The 27,092-nt window shown below is 35.7% G+C and overlaps 1 protein-coding gene across 25 annotated transcripts in view, besides 1 other annotated feature; it reads left to right on the top strand.

The window, feature by feature from the left end:
- Positions 1-27,092, top strand: part of EML5 (EMAP like 5) — a 180,523-nt gene that overhangs the window by 26,226 nt on the left and 127,205 nt on the right. For 23 of the 25 annotated variants that reach the window (XM_047431057.1, XM_017021065.3, XM_047431056.1 and 20 more), the window contains exons 2-5: positions 12,057-12,216; positions 20,445-20,543; positions 22,637-22,705; positions 26,156-26,341. In XM_047431057.1, coding sequence (XP_047287013.1) covers positions 12,057-12,216; positions 20,445-20,543; positions 22,637-22,705; positions 26,156-26,341 — 514 coding nt within the window. Of the gene's footprint in view, positions 1-114; positions 1,329-12,056; positions 12,217-20,444; positions 20,544-22,636; positions 22,706-26,155; positions 26,342-27,092 lie in introns of those variants that run through there. The other 2 variants (XM_011536534.4, XM_017021069.3) reach the window with 2 other exon arrangements.
- Positions 216-416: a silencer, noted in NCBI's record as "peak2226 fragment used in MPRA reporter construct". NCBI's record gives its function as "represses an SCP1 promoter by STARR-seq MPRAs in K562 erythroleukemia cells {active_cell/tissue: K562}" and the evidence as "EXISTENCE:reporter gene assay evidence [ECO:0000049][PMID:32103011]".

Genomic DNA, 27,092 nt, shown 5'->3' with positions numbered 1-27,092 from the left:
TTCAAAAGGGGAGGGAGTGTACGAATAGGGTGTGGGTCACAGAGATCACATACTTCACAAGGTAATAAAATATCAGAAGGCAAATGGAGGCAGGGCGAGATCACAGGACTGGGGCGAAATTAAAATTGCTAATGAAGTTTTGGGCATGCATTGTCATTGGTAACATCAGGAGACCGGGTTTGAGAGCAGACGACCGGTCTGACCAAAATTTATTAGGCAGGAATTTCCTCGTCCCAATAAGCCTGGGAGCGCTATGGGAGACCGGGGCTTATTTCATCCCTTATCCACAACTGTAAAAGACAGACATTCCCAAAGCGGCCATTTTAGAGACCTCCCCTTGGGAACACATTCTCTTTCTCAGGGATGTTCCTTGCTGAGAAAAAGAATTCAGCAATATTTCTCCTATTTGCTTTTGAAAGAAGAGAAATATGGCTCTGTTCCGCCCAGCTCTCAGGCAGCCAGACCTAATGGTTATCTCCCTTGTTCCCTGAACATCGCTGTTATCCTGTTCTTTTTTCAAGGTGCCCAGATTTCATATTGTTTAAACAATTTGTGCAGTTAACGCAATAATCACAGGGTCCTGAGGCGACATACATCCTCAGCTTACGAAGATGACGAGATTAAGAGATTAAAGTAAAGACAGGCATAGGAAATCGCAAGAGTATTGATTGGGGAAGTGATAAATGTCCATTAAATCTTCACAATTTATGTTCAGAGATTGCAGTAAAGACAGGCATAAGAAATTATAAAAGTATTAATTTGGGGAGCTAATAAATGTCCATGAAATCTTCACAATTTATGTTCTTCTGCCATGGCTTCAGCCGGTCCCTCCGTTCGGGGTCCCTGACTTCCCACAACAGTATGCCATGAAGTAACTGTTCTTAAAACAAATAGAATGTTGGAAGTTCTCAGCAAAGAAATAGAAGTTGTAGAAAAATGGAATACTTAGAACTGAAAATATAAAAATATAAATAATTCTCCAGGGGACTCAATTTCTGAGTCTGCATGGTAGCCAGACTGGCCCCAAAGATATCCATACTCTAATTCCTGGAACCTGTGAATTTTTTATGTTAAACAAAGCACACATGACTTTGCAGATATAATTAAGATAGGGATGTACCTTAAGATATTGAGAGTATCTTGAATTATCTAGATGGGCCCAGTCTAATTATGTGAGCCCTTAAAAGCAAATAATTTTCTTTAGCTGGAATGAGAAAACATGCAGCAGAAGTCAGAAAGATTCAAAGCTTGAGAAGAACTCAATGTGCCGTTGCTGATTGGAAGATGGAGGTGGTAACATCATGAGGCATGCAGTTGGCCTTGAGGAGGTGAGCAGTTCCCCCTTGACAGCCAGCAGGGGAGTGAAAGCCTCAGTCCCTTTACCACAAGGAATTGAATTCAGCTAACGTTCTGAATGAACTTGGAAGCTGACTCATCCCCAGAGACTCTAGAAAGTAATTTAGTTGTGTTAACACCTTGACTTTTGGCCTTGTGAGACTGTATGCACAGGACTCAGCTGAGCCACACTAACCAGATTTCTGCCCTGCAGAACTGGGAGATAATAAGCTTGTATTGCTTTAAGGTGCTAAATTTATGGTAATTTGTGACATCAGCATAGAAAACTAATATAATACCCTTGTTACAAACTAATATGTTACTTTTTTCTTTGGATGCTGGCAAAGACGTGAAATTCCTAGGTTAGAGACAAAGGACTTTATTATTCATGGCATAGAAAACAGCATGAGCTAGTCATGGCAGAATGCACATCCTTTTCAAGTGCCAAAACGTTTACCAAAATAGGCTATATATTATAAAACAAACCTTAACAAATTTAAAAGAATTGAAATCATATAGAGTATGTTCTCTGACCATAATGGAATCAAAATAAAAATCAGTAACACAGAACAGAAGGGAAAGTAGAATATATTATGAAAATGAAAAGAAGAAGAAAGTGAAAATACAACATATCAAAATTTGTAAAATTCAGCCAAAGCAGTGTTTCAAGGGAAATTTGGAGCATTAAAATGCATATTTTTTAAAAGAAAAATAATCTCAGGTCAGTAATCTAGGAGTCTGACTTAAGAAAATAGAAATGGAAGAGCAAACACAAAAACAAACAAAGTAGGAAATAATGAAGACAATTAGTGCAAACAGTGAAACAATAGAGAAAAACCTAAAGTTGGTTCTTTGAAAAGGATCAGATTGATAAACTTCTAGCTAGGCTGACCAAGAATAAAAAAGAGAAGACAAAAATTACCAGTATTCATCAGGATATCACTATTGACCTAAAGACGTTAAAAGGAGAATAAGGGATTACTATAAACAACTTATACATTTGACAACTGAGATGAAATGAACTATTCCCTCAAAAGATATAAACTACCAAACTTACAAGAATAAATGATTCCAATTCCACACAATTGCTTATAGAAAATAGAAGAGGAAGTACTACTTCTCAACTGTGTTTATGAGGCTGGCATCACTCTAATACAAAATCCAGACAAACATTTGAAGAAAAGGAAACTACAGACAACTGTCCCTCATTAATATAGATGTAAAAATTCTCAACAAAATAAGCTAATAAGCAAATAAAATCCGTCAGTAGGATAATATATCATAACCAGGTTTCATTCCAGGTAGGATTCATTCCAGGAATACAAGGCTGGTTCAACATTTAAAAATTAATCAGTGTAATTCGCTATATAATTGCTAAAGAAGAAAAGCCAGGTGACTATCTCAGTAGTTACAGGAAAAGCATTTGACAGAATTTAATACTTATTCATATTTTTAAAATGCTTAGCAAACTAGGACTAGAAGTCCACTTCTTTAACCCGGCTATAAAAGCATCTGTAAAAACCTACAGCTAAGTTTATTCCTGATGGTGAGAGACTGAATGTTTTCCTTGTAAAAGCAGGAAAAAGACCAGAGTGTCTATTCTTGTCACTTCTAATTAAACATCCTGCTATTTTATTGAGTATTTTTGCATCGATGTTCATCAGGGATACTGGCCTGAAATTTCCTTTTTTTGTTTTGTCTCTGCCATGTTTTGGTATCAGGATGATGCCGGCCTCATAAAATGGGTTAGGGAGAATTCCCTCTTTTTCTATTGTTTGGAAGTGTTCTGGAAGGAATGGTACCAGCTCCTCTTTGTATCTTTGATAGAATTCGGCTGTGAATCTGTCTGGTCCTGGGCTTTTTTTTGGTTGGTAGGCTATTAATTACTGCCTCAATTTCAGAACTTGTTATTGGTCTATTCAGGGATTCGACTTCTTCCTGGTTTAGTCTTGGGGGGGTGTGTGTGTCTAGAAATTTATCCAGTTCTTCTAGATTTTCTAGTTTATTTGCATAAAGTTGTTTATAGTATTCTCTGATGGTAGTTTGTATTTCTGTGGGATCAGTGGTGATATCCTCTTTATCATTTTTTATTGTGTCTATTTGATTCTTCTCTCTTTTCTTCTTTATTAGTCTTGCTAGCTGTCTATCTATTTTGTTATCTTTTCAAAAAAACAGGTCCTGATTCATTGATTTTTTGAAAGGGTTTTCTTCTCTGTCTCCTTCAGTTCTGCTGTGATCTTAGTTATTTCTTGTCTTCTGCTAGCTTTTGAATTTGTTTGCTTTTGTTTCTCTAAGTGTTTTAATTGTGATGTTAGGGTGTCGATTTTAGATCTTTCCCACTTTCACCTGTGGGCATTTAGTGCTATAAATTTCTCTCTAAACACTTCTTTAGCTGTGTCCCAGAGAGTCTGGTGTGTTGTGTCTTTGTTCTCATTGGTTTCAAAGAACGTATTTCTGCCTTAATTTTGTTATTTACCCAGTAGTCACTCAGGAGCAGGTTGTTCAGTTTCCGTGTAGTTGTATGGTTTTTGAGTGAATTTCTTAATCCTGAGTTCTAACTTGATTGCACTGTGGTCTGAGAGACTGTTTGTTATGATTTCCATTCTTTTACATTTGCTGAGGAGTGTTTTACTTCCAATTATGTGGTCAATTATAGAATAAGTGCTATATGGTGCTAAGAAGAGTGTATATTCTGTTGATTTGGGGTGGAGAGTTCTGTCAATGTCTGTTAGGTCTGCTTGGTCCAGAGCTGAGTTCAAGTCCTGAATATCCTTGTTAATTTTGTGTCTCATTGATCTAATATTGACAGCGGGGTATTAAAGTCTCCCACTATTACTGTGTGGGAGTCTAAATCTCTTTGTAAGTTTCTTTTTTTTTCCCCCGAGATGGAGTTTCACTCTTGTTGCTTAGGCTGGAGTGCAATGGCATGATCTCAGCTCACTGCAACCTCTGCCTCCCGGGTTCAAGTGATTCTCCTGCCTCAGCCTCCCGAGTAGCTGGGATTACAGGCATGTGCCACCACAACCCGCTAATTTTTTATTTTTATTAGAGACTGGGTTTCTCTGTGTTGGTCAGGCTAGTCTCGAACTCCCGACCTCAGGTGATCCACCTGCCTCGGCCTCCCAAAGTGCTGGGATTACAGGTGTGAGCCACTACGCATGGCCCGTGTCTTTGTAAGTTTCTTAGAACTTGCTTTATGAATCTGGGTGCTCCTGTATTGGGTGCATATACATTTATAAACTATCATCAGAGCGAACAGGCAACCTACAGAATGGGAGAAAATTTTTGCAATCTGTCCATCTGACAAAGGGCTAATATCCAGAATCTACAAGGAACAAATTTACAAGAAAAAAACAACCCTATCAAAAAGTGGGCTAAGGATATGAACTGACACTTCTCAAAAGAAGACATTTATGCAGACAACAAGCATATGAAAAAAAGCTCATCTCTGGTCATTAGAGCAACACAAGTCAAAACCACAGTATGATATCATCTCATACGAGTTAGAATGGTGATCATTAAAAAGCCAGGAAACAACAGATGCTGGAGAGGATGTGGAGAAATAGGGACACTTTTACATTGGTGGGAGTGTAAATTCGTTCAACCATTGTGGAAGACAGTGTGGTGATTCCTCAAGGATCTAGGACCAGAAATACCGTTTGACCCAAGAATCCCATTACTGGGTATATACCCAAAGGATTATAAATCATTCTACTATAAAGACACATGCACATGTATGTTTATTACAGCACTGTTCACAATAGCAAAGACTTGGAACCAACCCAAATGCCCATCAATGATAGACTGGATAAAGAAAATGTGGCACATACACACCATGGAATGCTATGCAGCCATAAAAAGGATGAGTTCATGTCCTTTGCAGGGACGATGAAGCTGGAAACCATCATTCTCAGCAAACTAACATAGGAACAGAAAACCAAACACCACATGTTCTCACTTGTAAGTGGGAGTTGAACAATGAGAACATATGGGCACAGGGAGAAGAATGTCACATACCAGGGCCTGTTGGGGCTGGGGTGCAAGGGGAGGGATAGCATTAGGAGAAATACCTAATGTAGATGACAGGTTGATGAGTGCAGCAAACCACCATGACACATGTATACCTATGCAACAAACCTGCACGTTCTGCACATGTATCTCAGAACTTAAAGAATAATAATAATTTTAAAAAAACAACATCCTGCTAGAAGTTCAAGCCAGTGCAATCAGACAAGAAATAAAAAGGCTTATAGAAAGAAAAGGAAGAAATAAATTGTCTCTATTCTTAGACAACATGATTGCCTACATAGAAAATTCCAAATAATTTATTTTTTAAAAACTCACACAAAAAACACTACTCCTAAAACTCAGTGAATTTATCAGGGTCACAGGATACCAGGTCAACATACGTAAATTAGTTATATTTCTACCTACTAGCAATGAACAATTGGAAACTGAAATTTTACAGCAATACTGTCTACAAAAGCTCAAAAATATCTATATAAATTTTACAAAATCTATGCAAGGTCTATGTTATATACTAAAAACTATAAAATGAGACAGAAAACAAAGAATACCTGAAAAATGGAGGGCGGGCGTACTATGTTTATGGATTGGAAGACTCAATATAATTAAGATGTCACTTCTCTTCAAAGTTTTTTATAGATATAATACAATTCTAATCATAATCCCAACAAGATATATAGGATATACAGCTGATTCTAAACTTTATAGGAAAGATGAAGTAATTAGAATAGCCAAAGCAATTTGGAAAAAGAACAAAGGTAGAGGACTCACAGTATTCAATTTTAAGGCTTATAATAAAGCTATACTCATGAAGGCAGTGTGGTATTGGTGAAAGGATAGATACATAGGTTAATGGTGTAAAATACAGGGTGCAATTTGTGGAAAAGTAATATAGATATGGTCAATTGATTTTTGACAAAAGTGCTTGGGGAAGTCAATGGAGAAAAGATAGTCTTTTCAATACATGGTGCTGGAAAGTTAGGAATCTTACATAAAGACAGCAAAAAACAAACAAACAAACAACTATAACCTACATTACACTTTATACAAAAATTAACTCAAAATAGATTGTAGCTTTAAATGTAAGACAAACTATAAAAGTTTTAGAAAATATCAGAGGAAATCTTTATTACCTTTGGTTAAGCAAAAGCATGGTCCATAAAACAAAAGTCAATGAACTAGATAGACTTCATAAAAATTAAAAAATGTTTGCTCTGTGAGAGAAACAGAGAATGCAAAGAAAAGCTACAGTCTGGGAGAAAATATTTGCAAGTCCCATGTAGGACAAAGGGACTTGTATTGAGAATATATGAAATACTTTGAAAACTCAAAAATATAAAGGCAACCTAATGAAAATGGCTAGAAGACTTGAACAGATCATTATAAGACCAATTAGTCCATGTGAGTAGTCATCAGGGAAATTCAAATTAAGAACACTGACACTACCAAATATTAGTAGGAATGTGGAGCAACTGGAACTTTCTTACATTGCTGGTGAGAGTGTAACATGGTACAACTACTGTGGAAAACTGACAGTTTCTTATAAATCTAAACACGGACCCACCCTATCCTTTTTCTCTAACTTGACTTTGAATACCTCTGTTCTATTGTATGAAGATTTTGTAGTTAAACTATGAGGACCTGCATAGTTTTTCTCCCCAGTTTTTTTTTTTTTTTTTTTAAGAGATGGTGACTTGCCCTGTCACTCAGACTGGAGTATAGTGGCATGATCACAGCTCACTGCAGCCTTGAACTCCTGGCCTCAGGTGATCTTCATGCCTCAGCCTTCTGAATAACTGGGACTACGGGCATGTACCATCACACCTGGCTAGTTGTTTTATTTTTTGTAGAGGTGGGGTCTTGCTGTGTTGCCCAGGCTGGTCTTGAACTCCTAGCCTGAAGTGATCCTCCTGCCTCAGCCTCCCAAAGCACTGGGTTTACAGACACAAGCCACCACACAGCCTTCCTCCCCAGTTTTCAAGCTTGGGGAAATTTCCCTCATATTACTTGTAGTAAATATATGCCCTTTTTGAAGGTGAGAAAACAAGATGAAGATAAAGAATTTGCTAAGAAGCCTGTGAAGAGCAGAGCCAGAATTTTGAACCCATGTCTGTCTAACTTCAAAGGTTTTCTTTGCATAAATCCTTATACTAAAAATATGTGTACAGACAGTAATGTCAGTATTTTTTTTCACTTTTTAAAAACTGAGATATGATTCACATAACATAAAATGTACACTTTAAGTGCACAATTCAGTGATTTTTAGTATAGTCAAAGTTTTTCAACCATCACTTCTATCTAATTTCAGAATATTTATCACCCCTAAAAAATTCCCAAGCTCATTAGCAGTCCTTATCCATTCTCCTCTCCTTCCAGCACCTGGCAATCACTAATCTACTTTCTTTATGGATTTGCATATTCTGGACATTTCATAATGTATTAATATGATATGTGGCCCTTATATATCTGTTTTCCTTCACTTAGCGTAATGTTTTCAAGGTTCATCCATGTTGTAGCATGTATTAATGCTTTATTCCTTTTGTCATTTTTGTTGTGTGGATACCACATTTTATTCGTGATTCAGTCAAACATTTGGATTGTTTCTACTTTTTGGCCATTTGTGAATGATGCTGCTGTGAACATTTGTGTACAAGTTTTGTGTGGACATATGTTTTCATTCCTTTTGGGAATACATCTAGGAATAGAATTGCTGGATCATACGGTAACTTTGTTTAGCCTTTTGAATAGCTACCAAGCGGTTTTCCAAAGAGGCTACATCATTTTACAATCCCATAATCAATGTTTAAGGGTTACGCTTTTTCCACATCCTTGCCAATACTTCATATTTTCTGTCTTTTAAAATATAGAAGTGGGCCAGGCGCGGTGGCTCATGCCTGTAATCCCAGCATTTTGGGAGGCCAAGGCAGGTGGATCTCCTGAGGTCAGGAGTTTGAGACCATCCTGGTCAACATGGTGAAACCTCGTCTTTACTAAAAATACAAAAAAATTAGCTGGGCGTGGTGGTGCATGCCTGTAATCCCAGCTACTTGGGAGACTGAGGCAGGAGAATTGCTTGAACCTGGGAGGCGGAAGTTGCAGTAAGCCAAGATTGCATCATTGCATTTCAGCCTGGGCAATGAGAGTGAAACTCTGTGTCAAAAAAAAATAAATACACATATATATGTATATATATGTATATTTATAGAAGTGGACTGGGAGCAGTGGCTCATGCCTGTAATACTAGAATTTTGAGAGCCTGAGGTGGGAGGATCTCTTAAGCCCAAAAGTTTGAGACCAGTCTGGGCAACATAGGGAGACCCCATCTCTACAAAAAAAAAAAAAAAAAATTAGACAGGTGTGGTGGCACCCACCTGTAGTCTCAGCTACTTGAGAGGCCAAAGCAGGAGGATGAGTCTTAAGTATGGGAGGTCGAGGCTGCAGTGAGTGGTGATTGTGTCACTGTACTCCAGCCTGGGTGACAGAGTGAGACCCTGTCTGAAATAAATAAATAGAAAGAAAGGAGAGAAAGAGAGAGAAAGGAAGAAAGCAAGAAAAGGAAGGAAGGAAAGAGGGAAAGAAAGAGAAAGAAAAAAAGAAATGGTATATTATTGTGATTTTTGATTTGTATTTCCCTGCTGACTATTGATGTTGAGCATCTTTTTATGTGCCTTTTGTATATCTTCCTTGGGGGTATGTCTGTTAAAATCCTTTATTTGTTTGAAAAATTGGATTATTTATAGTTTTATTGTTGATTTGTAGGAATTCTTTATATATTCTTAATAGAAGTCCCTTATCAGATATATGCTCTGCAAATATTTTCTCCCATTCTCTGGGTTGCATTACTATGTTCTTGATGATTGTCCTTAGAAGCATAAAAGTTTTTAATTTTGATTAAGTCCATTTTATCTGCTTTTTTTTTTGTCACTAATGCTTTGTGTTATATCTGAGAAACCACTGCTTCATTCAAGATTGGTAAGATTTATGCCTATATTTTCTTCCAAGAGTTTTAACAATTATTTTAGCTTCTGATCCATTTTGAGTTGACATTTGTATATGGTTTGAGGTATGTGTCCAAATTTATTTTTTTGTATGTGGATATATATTCAGGTGTCCCAGTACTATTTGTTGAAATGACCATTTTATCCCCCATTGAATTGTCTTGGCACCACCCTTGTTGAAATCAGTTGACCACAAATGTATGGGTTTACTTCTGGACTCACGATTCTGTTTGATTGATCTGCATATCCTTATGCCAGTACCACACTGTCTTGATTACTGTAGTTTTGTAGTAAGTTTGTAAGTTTAGAAATTGGAAAGTGTGATTTTTCCAACTTTGTTCTTGTTTTTCAGGATAGTTTTGGTTATTTTGAGTCTTTCTGGATTTTAGAATCAGCTTGTCAGTTTCTTCAAGAAAGACAACTAGTATTTTGACAAGGATTATGTTGACTCTGTAGATCAATTTGAGAAGTATTGCCATCTTACAAATATTACATTCCTCTAAGCCCAGAAATGAGATGTCTTTCCATTTATTTAGATCTTTTAAAATGTCCTTCAGTGGGTTTTTGTAGTTTTCAGTGTACAAATCTTGTACTTTGTTTAATTTATTCCTAAATGTTTTATTCCTCTTGATGCTACTGTAAGTGGGATTATTTTCTTTAATTTTTTTATTGTTCGTTGCTAGTGTATAGAAATACAATAGATTTTTTATGTTGATCGTATATCCTGCAACCTTGCTGAATTCATATTAGCTCTTCATTTTTTGGTTGTTTCTTTGTGGATTCCTTAGGATTTTCTGTATATATGATCATATCATCTGCCAATAGAGATCTTTACTTTTACTTTTTGTTCCTTTTCCTGGCCTATTTTTCTTGGCTAGAATATCTAATAAGTTAAATGAGTGACAAGAACTGACATCCTTGTTTTTTCCCTTTACTTAGTGGGATTGCTTTCAGGCTTTCATCATTAAATATGTTATTAGCTTTGGGTTTATGTAGATGTCCTTTGTCAGTTTGAGGAAGTTTCCTTCAGTTTCTAGTTTATGTGTTTTTATCATGAAGGGATTGGGTTTTGTCAAATAATTTTTCTGTGTCTATTGAGATAAACATATATGGGAGTTTTTTTGACCTTTCTTCTGTTAATATGCCATATTTGTTGATTTCATATGTTGAACCAGCCTGGTATTCCCACTCATCTTCTCTCCCATTGATTACCCCTTTAGTATTCCCTGACTTGATGAATACCACCCCAAACCATTCAAATACCCAAGCCAGAAACCCGAGTCATCTTAGACCCCTCTCTTCCCCTTGTCCCCTGCATCCAATCTGTTAATTTTATCTTCTTTATTTACTTTAGAGACAGGATCTGGCCCAGAAGCCCAGGCTGGAATGCAGTGGTGCAGTCATAGCTCATTGCAGCCTTGAACTCCTGGGTTCCTTGAACTCCTGGGTTCAAGCGATCTTCTCACCTCAGCCCCTCAAGTAGCTGGGAATAGAGGTGTATGCTGCTATGTCTGGCTCATTAAAAAAAATTTTTTTTTTGTAGAGACAATGGTTTGCTGTGTTTCCCAGGGTGATCTTGAACTCCTGACCTCAGGTGATCCTCCAGCCTTGGCCTCTCAAAGCACTGATATTATAGGCATGAGCCGCTACACCCAGCCTTGATTCTGTTTTAATATCCTCCTAATTTTCCCCTTTTAGTGATTCTCCACCGTGATGCCAGGTGTGATTTTCTTGTTCATCTCAAGGGCAAATATGATATTGTAAATTGACATATAGAAAAAATTATCAAATAGAAATTTATATTTTCCCCGCCTTCTGCTGATGTACATAAACTATTACCAACTGCTAGGTCTTTGTCTTGTTTTTAGAGACTCATAGATTTTTTTTTGCGAATTATGGGTGACCTTTCTGTTTCTTAAAATGGAATTTATAATTTAAGAATTAGTGTTATAGTAGGAGTGCTACTAAATGCTGTATTTAGACATTAAGATTTTGTCTAACTTTATCCAGTGAAAGGAATAGTAAAATGGGAAAGAAGGCTTGGAAACAGGTGAATACTAAATGAGGAAAAGGCTACCAATTTGTTGCTGTGATCCAATTGCTCTCTTGTGAGAGTTCTTTTCTTGAGAAGTTTACACACAATATATTGCAGGGATTATGAAGGGTATAATTAGCTTATCATTAACTGTTTATCACATATTCTATGAAGTAGTAACTGTTAGCATGGATTTTTATAGAAGCTATTTATTTTAAATCCAAATTACCTGCTGGGCGTGGTGGCTCACACCATAATCCCAGCACTTTTGGAAGCTGAGGCAGGCGGATCACTTGAGGTCAGGAGTTCAAGACTAACCTGGCCAATGTGGCGAAACCCCATCTCTACTAAAAATACAAAAATTAGCTGGGCGTGGTGGCGGGTGCCTGTAATCCCAGCTACTCAGGAGGCTGAGACACAAGAATTGCTTGAACTTGGCGGGATGGAGGTTGCAGTGAGCTGAGATCACACCACTGCACTCCAGCCTAGCTGACAGAACGAGACTCTGTCTCAACAAAAATAATTTTTAAAAAATCCAAATTGTCTAAAGTGGATAAAGTCTAATGTTCACACTGGTATATGTGTTTTACATCTACCAAATACTATAAAATCTGTATAAGCAATTTTTAATAATACTACTTATTTATTTCCTTATTTTACAGCCTTGCATTGCATCCTGAACGAGTGTTGGTAGCAACAGGACAAGTTGGGAAAGAGCCTTATATTTGTATTTGGGATTCATACACTGTGCAGACCATATCAGTTTTAAAGGATGTTCATACACATGGTATAGCTTGCTTGGCGTTTGACTTAGATGGACAGGTATGTGACAGTTTTTCATTTTTTTCTAAATTGTATGTTAAGGTATATTATAGAAAATGATTATAAATCTATAAATATTAAATTGGACACTTGATGAAAATTATTTGTCCAAAGGTGGAGGTGGGTAGGTGGGGTGGGAGGTTGATATATAACAATGGGGTTTTTATTTCATCATGTCAAGAACTTTCTCAATTGAATTAATTATTACCTTGAAAGCCAAAGTGATTTTGATTCAGTGGAATATTACATGGTTATTATACAGATTTTTCTATGTAACTCTTTTCCAGATAGGGTATTTTGACAGGACAGATGGATGATATCTTAGGAAAATTAAGTTTCTCAGAAAGCTGTATATGTTTTATTTTAATTTTATTTTTTTATTTTTAGAGACAGGGTCACGCTCTGCTGCCCAGGCTGGAGTGCAGTGACATGATCATAACTCATACTCTTGGGCTCAAGCAATGTTCCTGCCTCACCTTCCTGAACAACTAGGACTACAGGCACATACCATCATGCCTGGCTAATTTTTTTTTTTGGTAGAGATGGGATCTCACTGTGGTGCCCAGGCTGGTCTCAAACTTCTGGCCTTAAGCTATCCTCCAGTGTTGTTGACCTCCCAAAGTGCTGGAATTACAGGCTTGAGCCACTGCACCCAGCCTGTATTTCAATTTTCAGTTACCTTAAAGGTTGTCTATTAAAATTATATTTTTATTGAATATAATGGAACAATTCCTATGAGTTATTTTTTATACAAAATCAAAGTTCACAACAAAGGATATAATTATCATTCAACTGACTAATCAGTTTCTAAATTATCATCTACTTCTAGTCAATGATTTTAAAAAGTTAAACAAGCCAAGAGCTTTTTTTGTGGTGCTTTTATGGAAATTGTTATACCTAAAAATACTTTAAAGTTACCAGTAAAAAGTTGGATCTTGCAGGTTGTTCATTTATAATCTTTAAAAGTTTTATGTTATAATTAGACTTTAAAATCATTTTAAATTTTAGAACAATTTTAGTTATCTGCTTTTTAATTCATAAAATTAGTTTTATAGACCTCAATTTTACAGAAACAAATTACAGTGTGTTCTATCCCCTTGAACATGATAGCCAGTAGATGTTTTTATATATTACTCTGAGGAATAGCTTCTTTGAGTAGCATAGGTTAATGTGATTTTCTGGTAGTGAGATGAGAGAGTTCCCTTGACCCCTTTGCAGGACTTGTAACAAGGGTGTAGCTCGTTTAGTTGGCTGCCCAGCTCAAACCCCTTGTGGGAGTGGGGCATGCAGGTGAGAGGTTGCAGGAGAGCTGGGGTGAGTGCCTTTGGGTGCTGGCTTGCCTGTGGCAGCATCTAAGGTTACCCACAACCTCTGGAGCCCCAGAGGGTGTGTGTTACAAACAATATTCTTTGACACCAGCAGCTTAAGTGTTGAACAACTCAGTGAAGAGTCAGTGTGACAGCCTTTTTGGGTTCCTGCACCCAGTGCATCCTGGATTGTCCAGCGTCCAGGAAGAACCAGGTTACACGAACAGATTGAAGGGTGGTGTATATGGAGGATTTTATTGAGCAATGGAAGTGGCTCTAAGTGGTATGGCGAACTGGAGAGGGGATGGAGTGGGAAGATAATCTTCTCCTGACCATCCTGGGCCAAACTCCTCTTGATATGCAGACACTTCTCTTCTCTCCTTCTCTACAGTGCTGTTTTGCTCCTCCGCCAGTGGAGTTTGGGGATTTTATGGGTACAGGGTTGGGGTTGTGGGCCAGAGTGATTTTGGCAAAGGCAACATTCGGGTGGGAAAACAGGAGTGCATGTTCTCATTGAGGGCCAGGGGTCCAGGCTTGAGGGTGGAACCCTTGCCAGGGACCCCACCTTCTTCTACCCAGTATTTCCCTGCCTCCTGTTCATATTAGTAAGAGATGACTTTCTGGTAATGGATCTATAAAGACTTAATTGGAATCTCTTATTTGGAAAAAAAATGTGCTTCTAGGTTTATATCACCATATAGCAGTGTTTGGCAATTGCACAAACTTAATTCATATCCCATTTTTGCTATTATTTTTCAAGTCTTAATGTTCTGTCAGAATTTCATTTTCTTCTTTAAAGGAAATAATACCTATTTCATAGCATAAAATGTTATAAAACAAACCTACAAAGTTATTTTTAAAAACCACTTATTTAAGGTGTTATGAAATTCAAGCCATTTTAATTATAAGCATCTATAACATTAAATATAGATATTTTCTTCTTAGCTTTAAATTTGCCCTTTCTAAATGTAATATATTGCATTGCTGAGGAATTTCTTCTATATATCCAAGGAGAAATCATGCCCATAGCTTTTACTAGTTGAAAGTGTTTAATTTCACTTACTTTGAGCAACTTATAGGAAAAGTCTTGGGTACATGTATTTCATTATCAGAGATCTTCATGAGAACATATTACTTAAAATTTTAAGTTCATAAAAACATAATAGCTAAAGGTGTTGAGCATATACCAAGTGCCAGGTATTATGCTAAGCCTGCATTATCTCATTTAATCCTCCCAACAACCCTTTGGAATAGATGCTATTATTATCTCCTTATTTAAATATTTGATGTGCTAAAATTTTTTATGGATACTTCCAATTCAGTTAATGGACACAAATAAGATTTTGTCTGGGAATAGGATCAGGTAGGAATTTGGGAAGATGGATAGAGGCTTCTTTATCTGGTTTTCTTTCTCCCTCTCTGATTATTTTTATCTTTAAAGGAGTCTTTCCTTGTCTGCTTCTTAAATATCAGTGTTCTTCAGGAGTCTGTAGCCTTTTCTTTTCACTTTACTTACATTCTCTGGGTGAGTATATAGGCCCATGACTTTAACTTCCATATCAGCTAACAGTGGCTCTGGCTTCTCAACTCTAAATATCACACTTGAATGTTCTGTAGATATTCCATTTTCTACATTTAAAACTGAATTCTCTCTTTATTCGAACACTATCAAAAAAAAACCAACAAACAAAAAAAAACTCTTCCTCTTGACTTCTGCCCTACCTCTCCAGCCTTGTCTCTTGCCGCTTTCCAGTTAGCACTCCTTCCCTCCCCTGGATTGAATTACTGGCACTCTCTTGAAAGCACCATGATCTCTCTAATCTTGAGGTCCTTTGTTCTGAAATGTACTATTACTTTTCTACAAACTGTCTCTGACTCTCTCTTCCAATTAATGGATTAAGCATTACTTTTGCTTGAAAACTTTATTCTCTTTCTCACCTACCAAGTCTGGGTTAAAAGAAATGATAAAGTAAAAAATGATAAAAAGCTAGAAGAGGAGGTAGTATTTGCTGTGTCATTTCTACCTTGTCCTGTCTGTTGTTGCGTAATCTATGCATAGGGATGTTGGTTTGGGTCATGATATGTTTATCAAGCCTACAGAGAAAGTACTCTCAAGTCTAGTTTGTTATTGCCTGTAGTTGCAGAACTAGATGTATTGAGGCTCTATTTGGATACATGGAATTTTAAAGTTTTTGGCCAATTGTGTTTTGCTGTGTGTATTTGATGAGCTATACCAGACAGAGGAGACATTAGTAGAAAGAACAGCAGTGCCCCTCTGGCTATTCCTCACTTAATATACTTGTCTTGTGAAATTTTAACCTCTACACAGTATTCTGATAGCAAGAGGTAGATACATTTGTTCTAGCTAGATTTTTGCTGATGCCCTTTGGTTCCCAAATAGTAAATACTCTCAGGAGGTACAAATAATCTCCTCTTGTTCTCTGGGCTTTCTGCTAGCTTGATTTGATGGAGAGTCATAACAAACTGTATTCTGTATCTTTTTATATAAATTATTCATTCTACCAATTTTGGAGTTTAAATAGTAAAACTTTCTTTTCAGAAATTGTAACTGGGTACTAGATGGCATTTCTCATTTGGACAGTTAGAGGGCGTAGGTTCTTAAAGCTAATTAAGGTTATGGTAAACTAATAGTAATAATAATAATATGATGCAAACATTTATGTAACATCAGTCATATACCAGGCACTCTAACTCCTTTAAGTAGTACATATGTCAATTTTCACAGTAACCCCTGTGAGGTATTTTTATTTGTCCCCATTTAACTATGGTTATAGTAAACTAATAGCAATAATAATAATGATATGAAGCAAACATTAAATAACATTAACCATATATCAGGCACTCTAACTCCTTTAAATAGTGTATATGTTGATTCTCATAGTGACCCCTGTGAAGTAATTTTATATCCCCATTTAATAGGTGAAGAAAGTAAGGTACAGGGAGGCTAAATAATTGTCCAAAGTCACCCTGCTAGTAAGAGATGATGTTCAAACCTAGGCAATCTGCTACCAGAATCTGTGCTCCAAACCACCATTTGATAAGCTGTCTATAGTAAGTGAAATAGTAAATATTTTAAACTTTGTGGGCCATTTGGTCTTTGCTATAACTACTCAGCTCTGCATTGCAGTGCAGTGTGAAAGCAGTCATAGACAATGCACGAAGGAATGAGTGTGGCTATATTCCAGTAAAACTTTATTTACAAAAACATAGGTACAGACAGGATTTGGCTTGAGAGTTGTACTTTGCTGACCCCTGCTCTAAACCAGTACTTTTCACAGTATGTGTTGTGGGTTTTTCCTCACATTTTTCTTGTTATTTCTTCTGTGACCTTTCAGTTACTTAGAAGTATGTTGTTAATTTCCAAATATTTGGGAGATTTTCTGGATAACATTCTGTTACTCTAATTCTGTTTTTGTCAGAGAACATACTCTGTATTTTAATTTTTTAAAATTTATTGACACTTTGTAATCCAAATTTTTGTGATCTTCATGATATTTCATGTATATTTGGAAAGAATATGAAAAAGTATATTCTGCTGTTTCCTTTCTTCTGTTTATGGTGCTATCGTCATTTATTTATTAATACTTCTACATATTTTGAAAACCCCATAATAACTGTTATTTTGCCGTAAATAGTTGTTAAAACTTTTTTAATGAGAAAAATCTTACATATTTAACCACTTGGACACTCTCATATGTGTAAGTTGTTTCTATTTGGTATCATTTTACTTCTGCATGAGAAAACTTTCATGATCATATCTTGTAGTGCAGGTTTACTGATGATTCATTTTCTCAGCTTTTGTTTGCTTGAAAAAGACTTTGTTTTGACTCAATTTTCAAAGGATATTTTTGCTTAGTATACAATTCTGTGCTGACTTTTTTCTGCCTCAGCACTTTAAACTGTTTGTCCATTGTCTTCTAACTTACATCACTTTGGATGAGCAGTCTAGGATAATTTTTAAATCTTTGTTCCTCCATACAGCAGTTGTCCTTTTTTGTCTGGCTGCTGTTTAGAATTTGCCCTTTAGCGATGGCTTCAGCAATTTGTTTGCCATGTGTCTTGTGTGTTTTTTCTGTGTGAATGATTATCCTGCTTGGGATTTGTTGAACGTCTTAAATTTGTGGATTTATGGTTTCATCAATTTAGGAAACTTTTTACTATTATTTCTTCAGTTTTTTTTTTTCTTTTCCTCTGTCTTTTCTCTCCTTCTAGAGCCATGATTACCTGTATGTTAGACCACTTGATATTTTCCTGCAGGTCATTGAAGCTCTGTCAATTCTTTTTTTCTTTTTCTTTCTGTACTTTATTTTGGATGGGTTCTATTGCTGTGTCTTCAAGTTTATTTATCTTTTCATCATTGTCTGAGCTGCTGTTAATCCTTTGGAGTAAATTTTCATTTTAGATAATGTAACAGTTTTCTGTGTTGTTCTTTTATATCTTTTTTTATTCTTGGTATGTTTGAGATAATTCTTGTCTTGAAAATGTTAATTTTAACAGCAAATGTCTCCTAATTTTAATTATCTCTGGGTTTCCTGAGTCTGTTTCTATTGAGTGATTTTCCCCAGGTTATTAGTCACATTTTCCTGTTTCTTCACATACCTGTAATTTTATTATATCCTTTTAAAGTATATGGACACTGTTCTGGCAAATAGTCAAGTTCCTCATGAATCAGTTTCATCTTTGTGAAAAGCTTGCTTTCAAACTTTGATGAGGCAGCACTAGAGTAGCTTTTGCTCTAGAATTACTGGTATAATTTCACTATTAAGGTATGACACTCTCCTCCTGACCTCAGGATTCCTAATGACTGCCCAGCGAGTTCAAAGAGGTATCTTCATTCTGGTTATTGAGAATTTGAGTGATTCTGGACCCTTTGTGATCTCTGAGAATTTTTTGCTTTTAGCTCTCTAGTAATTGTTCTTTTTCTAGAATTTCTTCTTTGCATGACCTCATAGAGTTCATCCTATGCATGCAGAGATTAATATTCTCAAATCTTACTATAGATAGTTTTACTGGAGCTCTTTTCCTGCTCTGCAAATTCTAGGCATCTTGTCCTCTCTGAACTCCAGGCTCTGTTTGTCCAAATTAGTAAGTCTACCAGGCTCTATTTGGATTCCACCTTTCTGTGCCATGGTCTAGAAATTGCCTCCTAGATGGAAGCTCGGGTGATTACAGGACTTAATTTATTTGTTTTCCCCTCTTTCAGGGTTCACAGTGCTTTACTTCCAGTTGCAAATGTCTGAAAACATTTGTTTCATGTATTCTGTACAGTTTCTAGCTGTTTATGGCAGGGGTGGGTCGGGGAGGGTAAGTTCAGACCTTGATACTCCTTCATGGCTAGAAGTCCATCTTTTGTGTTTTTAAACCTCTCTCATACTTTCGGTCTCACTGTCCACTTCTGTTTTCAACTTTGTCTTTTCATCTCCTGCTAATCTTGTATTTAACTCTTCCATTGAATTTTTAACTTATTTTATTTTTTGTTTCTGGAAGTTCCGTTTGCTTCTTCAGGTCTCCTTGGATACTTTTTATAGTCTCGTATTCTTTGCTCATATACAGATATTTTGAATCCTTAATTTTATTTCGCACATTAAGCTTATTTCTCACGTTAAGCTTATGTTATTTAACTAATAATGCCATATCTGATGTTTTTTGCAAGGCCGACTTTGCTGTTTGTTGTGACTTGCCCATTCTCACTCATGGTTTCTTATTTTGTTGTGTTTGTGTGTGTGGGTGGGGTGGTTTGTTTATTTTTTCAGCTTATTATTACTATTTTTTGAGACAGAGTCTCTCTCTGTCTCCCAGGCTAGAGTGCAGTGGAACGACCTCAGCTCTCTGCAACCTCTACCTCCTGGGTTCAAGTGATTCCCCTGCCTCAGCCTCCCGAGTAGATGGAATTACAGGCGTGAGTCACCACGCCTGGCTAATTTTTGTAATTTTAGTAGAGACGGGGTTTCAACGTGTTGCCCAGGCTGGTCTCAATCTCCTGGCCTCAAGCAATCCACCTGCCTTGGCCTTCCAAAGTGCTGGGATTACAGTGTGAGCCACCGCACCTGACCCTTTTTTTTTTGTTTGTTTGTTTAGCTTATTTTGATTGAATTGCTACCTGTAGGAATTCTTTGAGGGATAGATCAAAGTTGCGGTACTTCATTTAGGATTTATATTTGCTTGGGCCACATTGTTGAAGTTGCTTGAAGACACAGCCAACCCTGAAGACTACTTTGAATTAAATTTCCTAGTTGAAGGATTCATGTTTAATGAGAATTTAGGCCAGCAACCATGTGAAGGATGCTTGTGGTTACAAATGTTCAGGGAGGTGTTTCTCCCTCTTCATGAGTTGCCTCCGCTTCTTTAGGAAGGGGTTATTTGTTGTTTCCGAGAGGTTTACTGCTTTAATCAGAGGCGGTCTGCAATTCAAATCCCCACCTTAGGTAGGCCCTAGACTTTGTCTCCTATCTTCCTCAGCCCACAGCACAGAAATCAGGGGTACAAGTATTCACCCGATGCCTTTAGAGTCCAGTAGGTGTAGGTGTTTTCTCATCCTCCAGGTTTCCCACTGGAAAATTTCTTAATTTTTCGACAGCTCATCAGTCCATTTAAAAACATGATTTTACATTTTATCTAGTATTTTTAGTTTTTGGTAGGAGGTATATTTAGGATATTTTGTCAATCCTACTGTTAGAAATGGAAGTCTCTCTTCTGTTTCATAATGTGAAGATCTATACATATGTGGAAACACTAACAAGGTGAAATACATTCAGCCTTTATGAGGTCTATAAAATATAGGCATATATGTTTTATGTTTATAAAAACCCATGAGTATAATTTCTTTGCTATTTGTAATTCAGTTTCTCTTTGATTTGTTTGCCTTTTTATTCCTTCCTGGACTTCTTGGACATAAATCAGCGCTTGGTTTCAGTTGGACTTGATTCAAAGAATGCAGTTTGTGTTTGGGACTGGAAAAGGGGAAAAATGTTGTCTATGGCTCCTGGTCATACAGATAGAGTAAGTATTCTCTTTTGAGATTTCTAATGAGTACTGGAAGGGAAAGACCAGAAGAGAGTTCAGGAGATTTTATTCTTCTGTATTTTGTTATTGCCAGATAGGTCATATGTAATTAAAATTTTACAATTGGTAAATAATTGTACAGATGTAAAAAGTCTTAAAGTGTTAGAGTACATATGTATTGTAGGACTTGGAAACATGATTTGATATGTATAGCATTGGCATAAGACTTTTTTTCTTTTTTTTATTATACTTTTAAGTTCTGGGGTACATGTGCAGAACGTGCAGGTTTGTTACATAGGTATACACGTGCCATGGAGGTTTGCTGCACCCATCAACCCATCATCTACATTAGGTATAAGACTTTTAACCTGGTGTTTGCTTCAGTAAAAACAATGTATTTTCTTTACATTTTTTAAAACAGTTTTATTGAAATATAATTGATATACATAGGGATGCACATATTTAAGGTGTGAAGTTTGATGGGTTTGACATATGCAGACACCCATTATTCAAATCTCAATTTAAAAATTGAATGGTTTGAGCCTAGGGTCTGTTTAGTTTGGTTTACCACTAATTTGTTACATATGTATTATGGTTAAGGTGAAAAATAATGTTGCTTGTGTGGATTTAAAATTACGTATTACTATTACATTTTTTAGAGACCTAACATTTTTAACTGATGACTTGTTAGAATATATATTCCTCATTCCAAATTGTATATAAACAATACATCATAGCCAGCTTTTAATTAAATATTATACTATTTTTATGGATGTAGATCAAAAAAGTTGTAAACTCCTAAAAGTGTCTAATTTGTGTGTATGTATATGTAGTAAAATCCTAACCTGAACCAGCACAGAGGCATGGCCAATGACTGTATTTGGTGGGAATTTATCATTCTAAAAGTTGGGTAGAAAATTTTGTGTATATTCGCATTTTGGAGAATACATTTGGTTTTTAGTAGGTGCACAGAGAGGCCTATTACACACACACACACACACACACACACACACAAACACACAATTTAGACCATTATTAAAATGTTGGATATATTTTATTAGACAGCTGGCATGTTCTTACCTGCTTAGATCAAAGCATTTTGCACATGACTATTTGGAATTTATATAAATAGACCCGTTACAAAATATGACACTGTCAATGGAGTTTTTGAAAGTATTATTGTGGTTGAATATTTCAAAGTTGCATTGATATGTTTTTCATATAATCTGTATTATGGTGAGTTGTTAAATATTAACTGTAATATGTATTCTTTCTTCATTATCACTAAAGAGCATCACTTTGTAAATTTTTGGAGTATACCAAAATGTGAAGTGTACATTTTAGTATACCAAAAATGTAAACCTTTTAGAGGTAGGTTGATAAGGTGTCAAAGAAACATGACGACTACCAGAAAGCAGAATAAATGAATTATTTTTTAAATGTTAGTTTTTCTTTCATCATTTGTTTAATTACATTTCTCATTCGTATTTTATTTCACCTGGGTTTTTGCTTGTTTGCTTTTGTAACAAAATGTTTTGCATGTATTTAGAATTTATGGAATTTTAGAAAATAATGAAGCCTGGAGACTCCCCAAAATTTGAGTTAACTTTGACCTTTAAACAGTGAAAAAAATTACTGTAAAATCAGTGTTTGGATTCTTTATGTAAACAGTTCTGAGTGATAGAAAGCTATAAAGGTGTTTCTTATTTCTAGGCTGTGTAAGTGTCACGTTCCATTCTGAATCTCTTTTCTGTAGAAATTATGCAAGCACCTCCCTTCGTGTCCTAATTCTGTTCAACCATTCTTGTTATTTATGGACCAAATTTTTTTAAAAATTAAAAATAAACAGAGGTGTTAAATTTTACTCCAGTAGTGTTTGAAGTTCATAGAAATGAAGAAATGCTTTTTATTTCTTATCATTTTCAAATTTACTTTATTTCTCATAAGATTTTGAAGTGTGGGATGTTGATTATTATTTATTGAGGAATATTATTTTATGATTAGGAGTTTGGGCCATTTGGTCTTTTGGACAGGATTTTTAAATGATTCTGGAAATAAGTATTTTAATCATGAATCTGATTTGTTTACAGATATTTGATATTTCTTGGGATTTGTACCAGCCAAATAAACTTGTCAGCTGTGGTGTAAAACATATCAAGGTACTAGAAGGGTCTTGTTTTATAATAGTCACGTTTAGTTCTCTGCTGCTAAGTATATATTGCACTGTTAACAATTTAGCCTACTTTCAGAATTTTGATAGTACTTATTTTTAAAATGGCAATGTTTTTATTGTTCTTATGTTCAGTCAAACAAATATATATATTATTTGCTTTGAACTATTGTAAGGAATATAGGTATGAATAGGAAATTAATAAGCCACATTCCATAAAGAAATCTGTAGTCTAGTGAGGCAGGATTTACTGTGTCCATCCTGTTTCTTCATGTTTCACTTACAAAGTAAAATGTTGAGAATAGGAAAGAAATGAAGAGTTTTTCATTTACATAGAATGGTGTGGGAGAAGCAACATGAGTAGACCTGGCTTTGCCATTTATTAGCTGTTTAACCTGCTATGAGTTATTTAACCTCTTTGAGCTTTTATTTTCACATTTTAAAACTGTGACTGCTGTTACCATCCTCAAAGAATTGATGATTAAATAAGGCGGCAGTGTATATTCAAGTGCTTGTCATAGTGCCTAACACATGGTCTGCTTTCTGAAAGTGTTGCTTTTCCTTTTTCTATATTTGCTCCCTGATTTGACCTCAGCCTTTAAATTTTTTTTTTGACAAATAATGATAGTACATATTCATGGGTACATAGTGATGTTTTGATACATAAAAATGTATGGTGATCAGATTAGGGTAATTAGCTATCATCCCAAACATTTGCTATTTCTTTGTTTTAGGACCATTCAATATCCTCCTTCTAGCTATTTGAAACTGTGTATTCATATTACCTATACTCATTCTACAGTGGTATAGAGTAGTAGAACTTATTCCTCCTCTCTAGTTACAATTTTGTATCCTTTAACAAATCTCTCCTTGTCCCTCTCTCAGCCTTGATAGCCACTATTTACTTTGCTTATGAAAGCTCTGGGTTTTGTTTTATAATTACAGCTCAGATTTTGAAGCCTGTAAAGTCAGTGGTGATATTCATTATTATGTTTATAGTTACTTTTAAATCATTGGAACAAATTGGAATTAACTTGCTTTACTTCCACTGTCTGATGTAACAGTTCCTGGTAACAGTTAATTCCTAGTGAATTAATTAAGGTTCTGTGTTCACATTCTTTATTTCAATATGCCTAACTCCATCCACGTTTTCTCCAGTGCATCTTTCACTGCTGCTGCAATTCTTGATTTGTTATTCTGGTATTGATTTGATTGATGGATAGTAGTAAATATTTATTTTTTGACAAATATTTAATACCAAAAAGGCTGTATGCTGGGCTTTAAGGCACATGATATAAGCACTGTGAAGGTATTTTTGTCTTGTTCATCTTTGATGGACAGTGTGTTTGATATGGTACTTGATATATATTAAGTGCTTAATAAGTGATTGGCAAATTAATTATGAATAAGGAGATCTTACTATTTTATATTGTAAGTAAAGCTAAAGGCTCCATTTTCAGGTTTTTATAAAAAGCTTATCTCAAACTAAATAAACTATATTTTTATAATGAGTTACATTTCTTTCCCTTTGCTAGAAGAAATGAATAGTAACATAGTTCTCTTTGCAGGCAATACATGTGAGGAAATTAATTCCCAGAGATGATCTAGAACTGCACTGTCCAACCATACATAGCTATTTAAACACAAATTAGTTAAATGAAACTTAAAATTCATTTCCTCAGTCACACTAGCAGTACATTTCATATGCTTATGTATCTAGTAGTGGTTACTGTATTGGAAAGCGTGTGTGTGTGTGTAATATTTTCATCATCACTGAAATTTCTATTGGTCAATATTGATTTGGATTCTAGAACAATAGTTCTTAACCCTTGCTGAGCATCAAAATAATTTGGGTACCTGGGCTTCATGCTTCAGAGATTCTGTCTCAGTTCATCTCAATTGGGAGTCCAGGCATCCCATTTTATGATTTCCCAGGTGATTCTAATGTGAAGCTAACATTGGGAATCACTGATCTAGAAGAAAATAATGGATTCAAATTAGGACATGCTGAAAGAAAGAAAACAAGCCACTTATGTACACAAATTATGGAGATTTTAAGTTTAAAAATTACAAAGTTTAATTAAAGTACTCATTAGATCTTTGAATAGATAATGATCATAATTTTTAGTTCTTTGAGGCTTCAAATTTTAAAATAAGAATATATGATAATAAATTATTTTAAATGTTAATTACTTATTACAAAGTTGAATTTTTTCTTTGGGCCTAATTTCTTTATGCAGAACTATTTAATGTATGTATCTCTGCCCTGTCCCATTTTTTTGGTTTATTTTTTAGAGATGGGATCCTACCATGTGGCCCATGCTGGAGTGCAGTAGCTATTCACAGGTGTGATTTATAGCTCACTGTAGCCTCAAACTCCTGGCCTCAAACCATCCTCCCACCTCAGCCTCCCAAGTTGCTGAGACTACAGGCGTTTGCCACTGTGTCCACTTCCCCCCAACTCCTTTTTCTTTAAATTTCTCTCCGTGAACTATAAAAATTTACCTAATTCCACCTAATAGAACAAAAGCCCTGGTAATGAAGATTCATGGTTAACTTCTTATTTTCTCCCAAGAATGAACAAATCATTCCACATGGACATCTATCTTATTTTTTTAAGCTTTACAAGCAAAGCAATTGCTCAGCTTTGAAAATATCAAATATTATAGTTACAGTGAGCTGCAGTTACCGTGAGCTGTAGCATACTCTTTTTTTCCTATCCTTAATGTTTCTATCAGAGAGAGTATGTTAGATTTGGTCCTTTTTCTTCTTCTTAGTCTATGATGACTTACCTTCATTTTCATTGCTAACCGATTCCCAACTTTTTAACCTAAAATTTTTTTTTTTCTTGAGACGGAGTCTCACTCTGCGCCCAGGCTGGAGTGCAGTGGTACACTCTTGGCTCACTGCAACCTCTGCCTCTTGATATCAAGCGATTCTTGTGCCTCAGCCTCCCGAGTAACTGGGATTACAGGCATGCGCCACCATACCTGGCTAATTTTTGTATTTTTAGCAGAGATGGGACTTCGCCATATTGGCCAGGCTGGTCTTGAACTCCTGACCTCAGGTGATCTGCCTACCTTGCTCTCCCAAAATGCTGGGATTACAGGCATGAGCCACTGTGCCTGGCTTAATCTAAGTTTTATGTAGATTTCTTTTCAGAAACCTAAGGAAAGCATAGCATATTTTAAAAATAATCTGATTCAAACCCCTTATTCTTACAGATAAGAATTGAAACCAGTGACTATATAGCTATGCTATAACGTAGCTTTTGACAGCACTAGGATGAGAATCTGAACATTGAATGCTATTTTATCATAAGGCAATTTCTTAGTTAATTTTTAGCTCACTGCTCTAATATAGCATCAAAGTATTGGGAATGTTTTACTTTATTTTATAAGAATTCTTTGGTAATTTGATTATACTATATACCTTTTAGTTCTGGAGTTTATGTGGAAATGCTCTGACCCCAAAACGAGGTGTCTTTGGTAAGACGGGTGACCTTCAGACAATACTGTGCCTAGCCTGTGCAAGGGATGAATTAACATATTCTGGTGCACTCAATGGGGATATATATGTTTGGAAAGGAATCAATCTTATACGAACAATACAAGGAGCCCATGCTGTAAGTACATTTAAGTATTTTAAACACTTTCATGTGTATTACTTAACCTTGTCTTAGAATGATAGACTGCGTAATATAGTATATTGTTTCTAGTCAGTTTGGTTGCTTGAAAATGCTTTTCTAACTGAATTATCTATTTGTTTTCAAGATTTCAATGAAGAAATCAATTAGACTCATTGATATTTATTACATTAGTATAATTAGTATCTTGTTAAAGCTATTGCTTTAGTATGGTGTCTTTCTGAAGAGTAGTGTTGAAAAAAAGCTTGTTGACTTCAATCTAAAAGTATTCTAGATTAACCACACCAGAATAAAGCTAGTGCTCTTGAGGCTAATTTACCAGAGGCAATTAAATTTTCGTGTAAATAACTTACTAAACTTAAAAAGAAATCTGCTGTTTAAATTCTTAGCGTTTTTTGGTTTGAGCTTTTTAGCAGTTTGGGTCCCCCTTACAAAGTAAAGGGAGCTAGATAGCACAAAGCTGCCATGTTGTTAACAGCAAGATCTTTGTGTAGAAAAGTCCTCAGTGCATTACATTTCTATTAATTGGGTTTTCCTACCCTTTTCTTTTTTACTTTTTAAATTTTTTGTGGTTGTTGAATTGGTTTTCTTTCCTTTATTCATTTGAATATTAGGGTTATTAATCTTTTGACAGTCATACATGTTGCAAATATTTCTCCAATCTGTTTGTCTTTGCTTATTACATCTTTTCTCATATGAACAAATTTAAAACTTGTGGGTGATCTGCCAT

This window comes from Homo sapiens, chromosome 14 (genome assembly GCF_000001405.40).
Source record: "Homo sapiens chromosome 14, GRCh38.p14 Primary Assembly".
NCBI classification, from domain to species: Eukaryota; Metazoa; Chordata; class Mammalia; order Primates; family Hominidae; genus Homo; species Homo sapiens.
The sequence above is the reverse complement of the archived record's forward strand: the minus strand, read 5'-3'. Positions and strand labels throughout refer to the sequence as shown.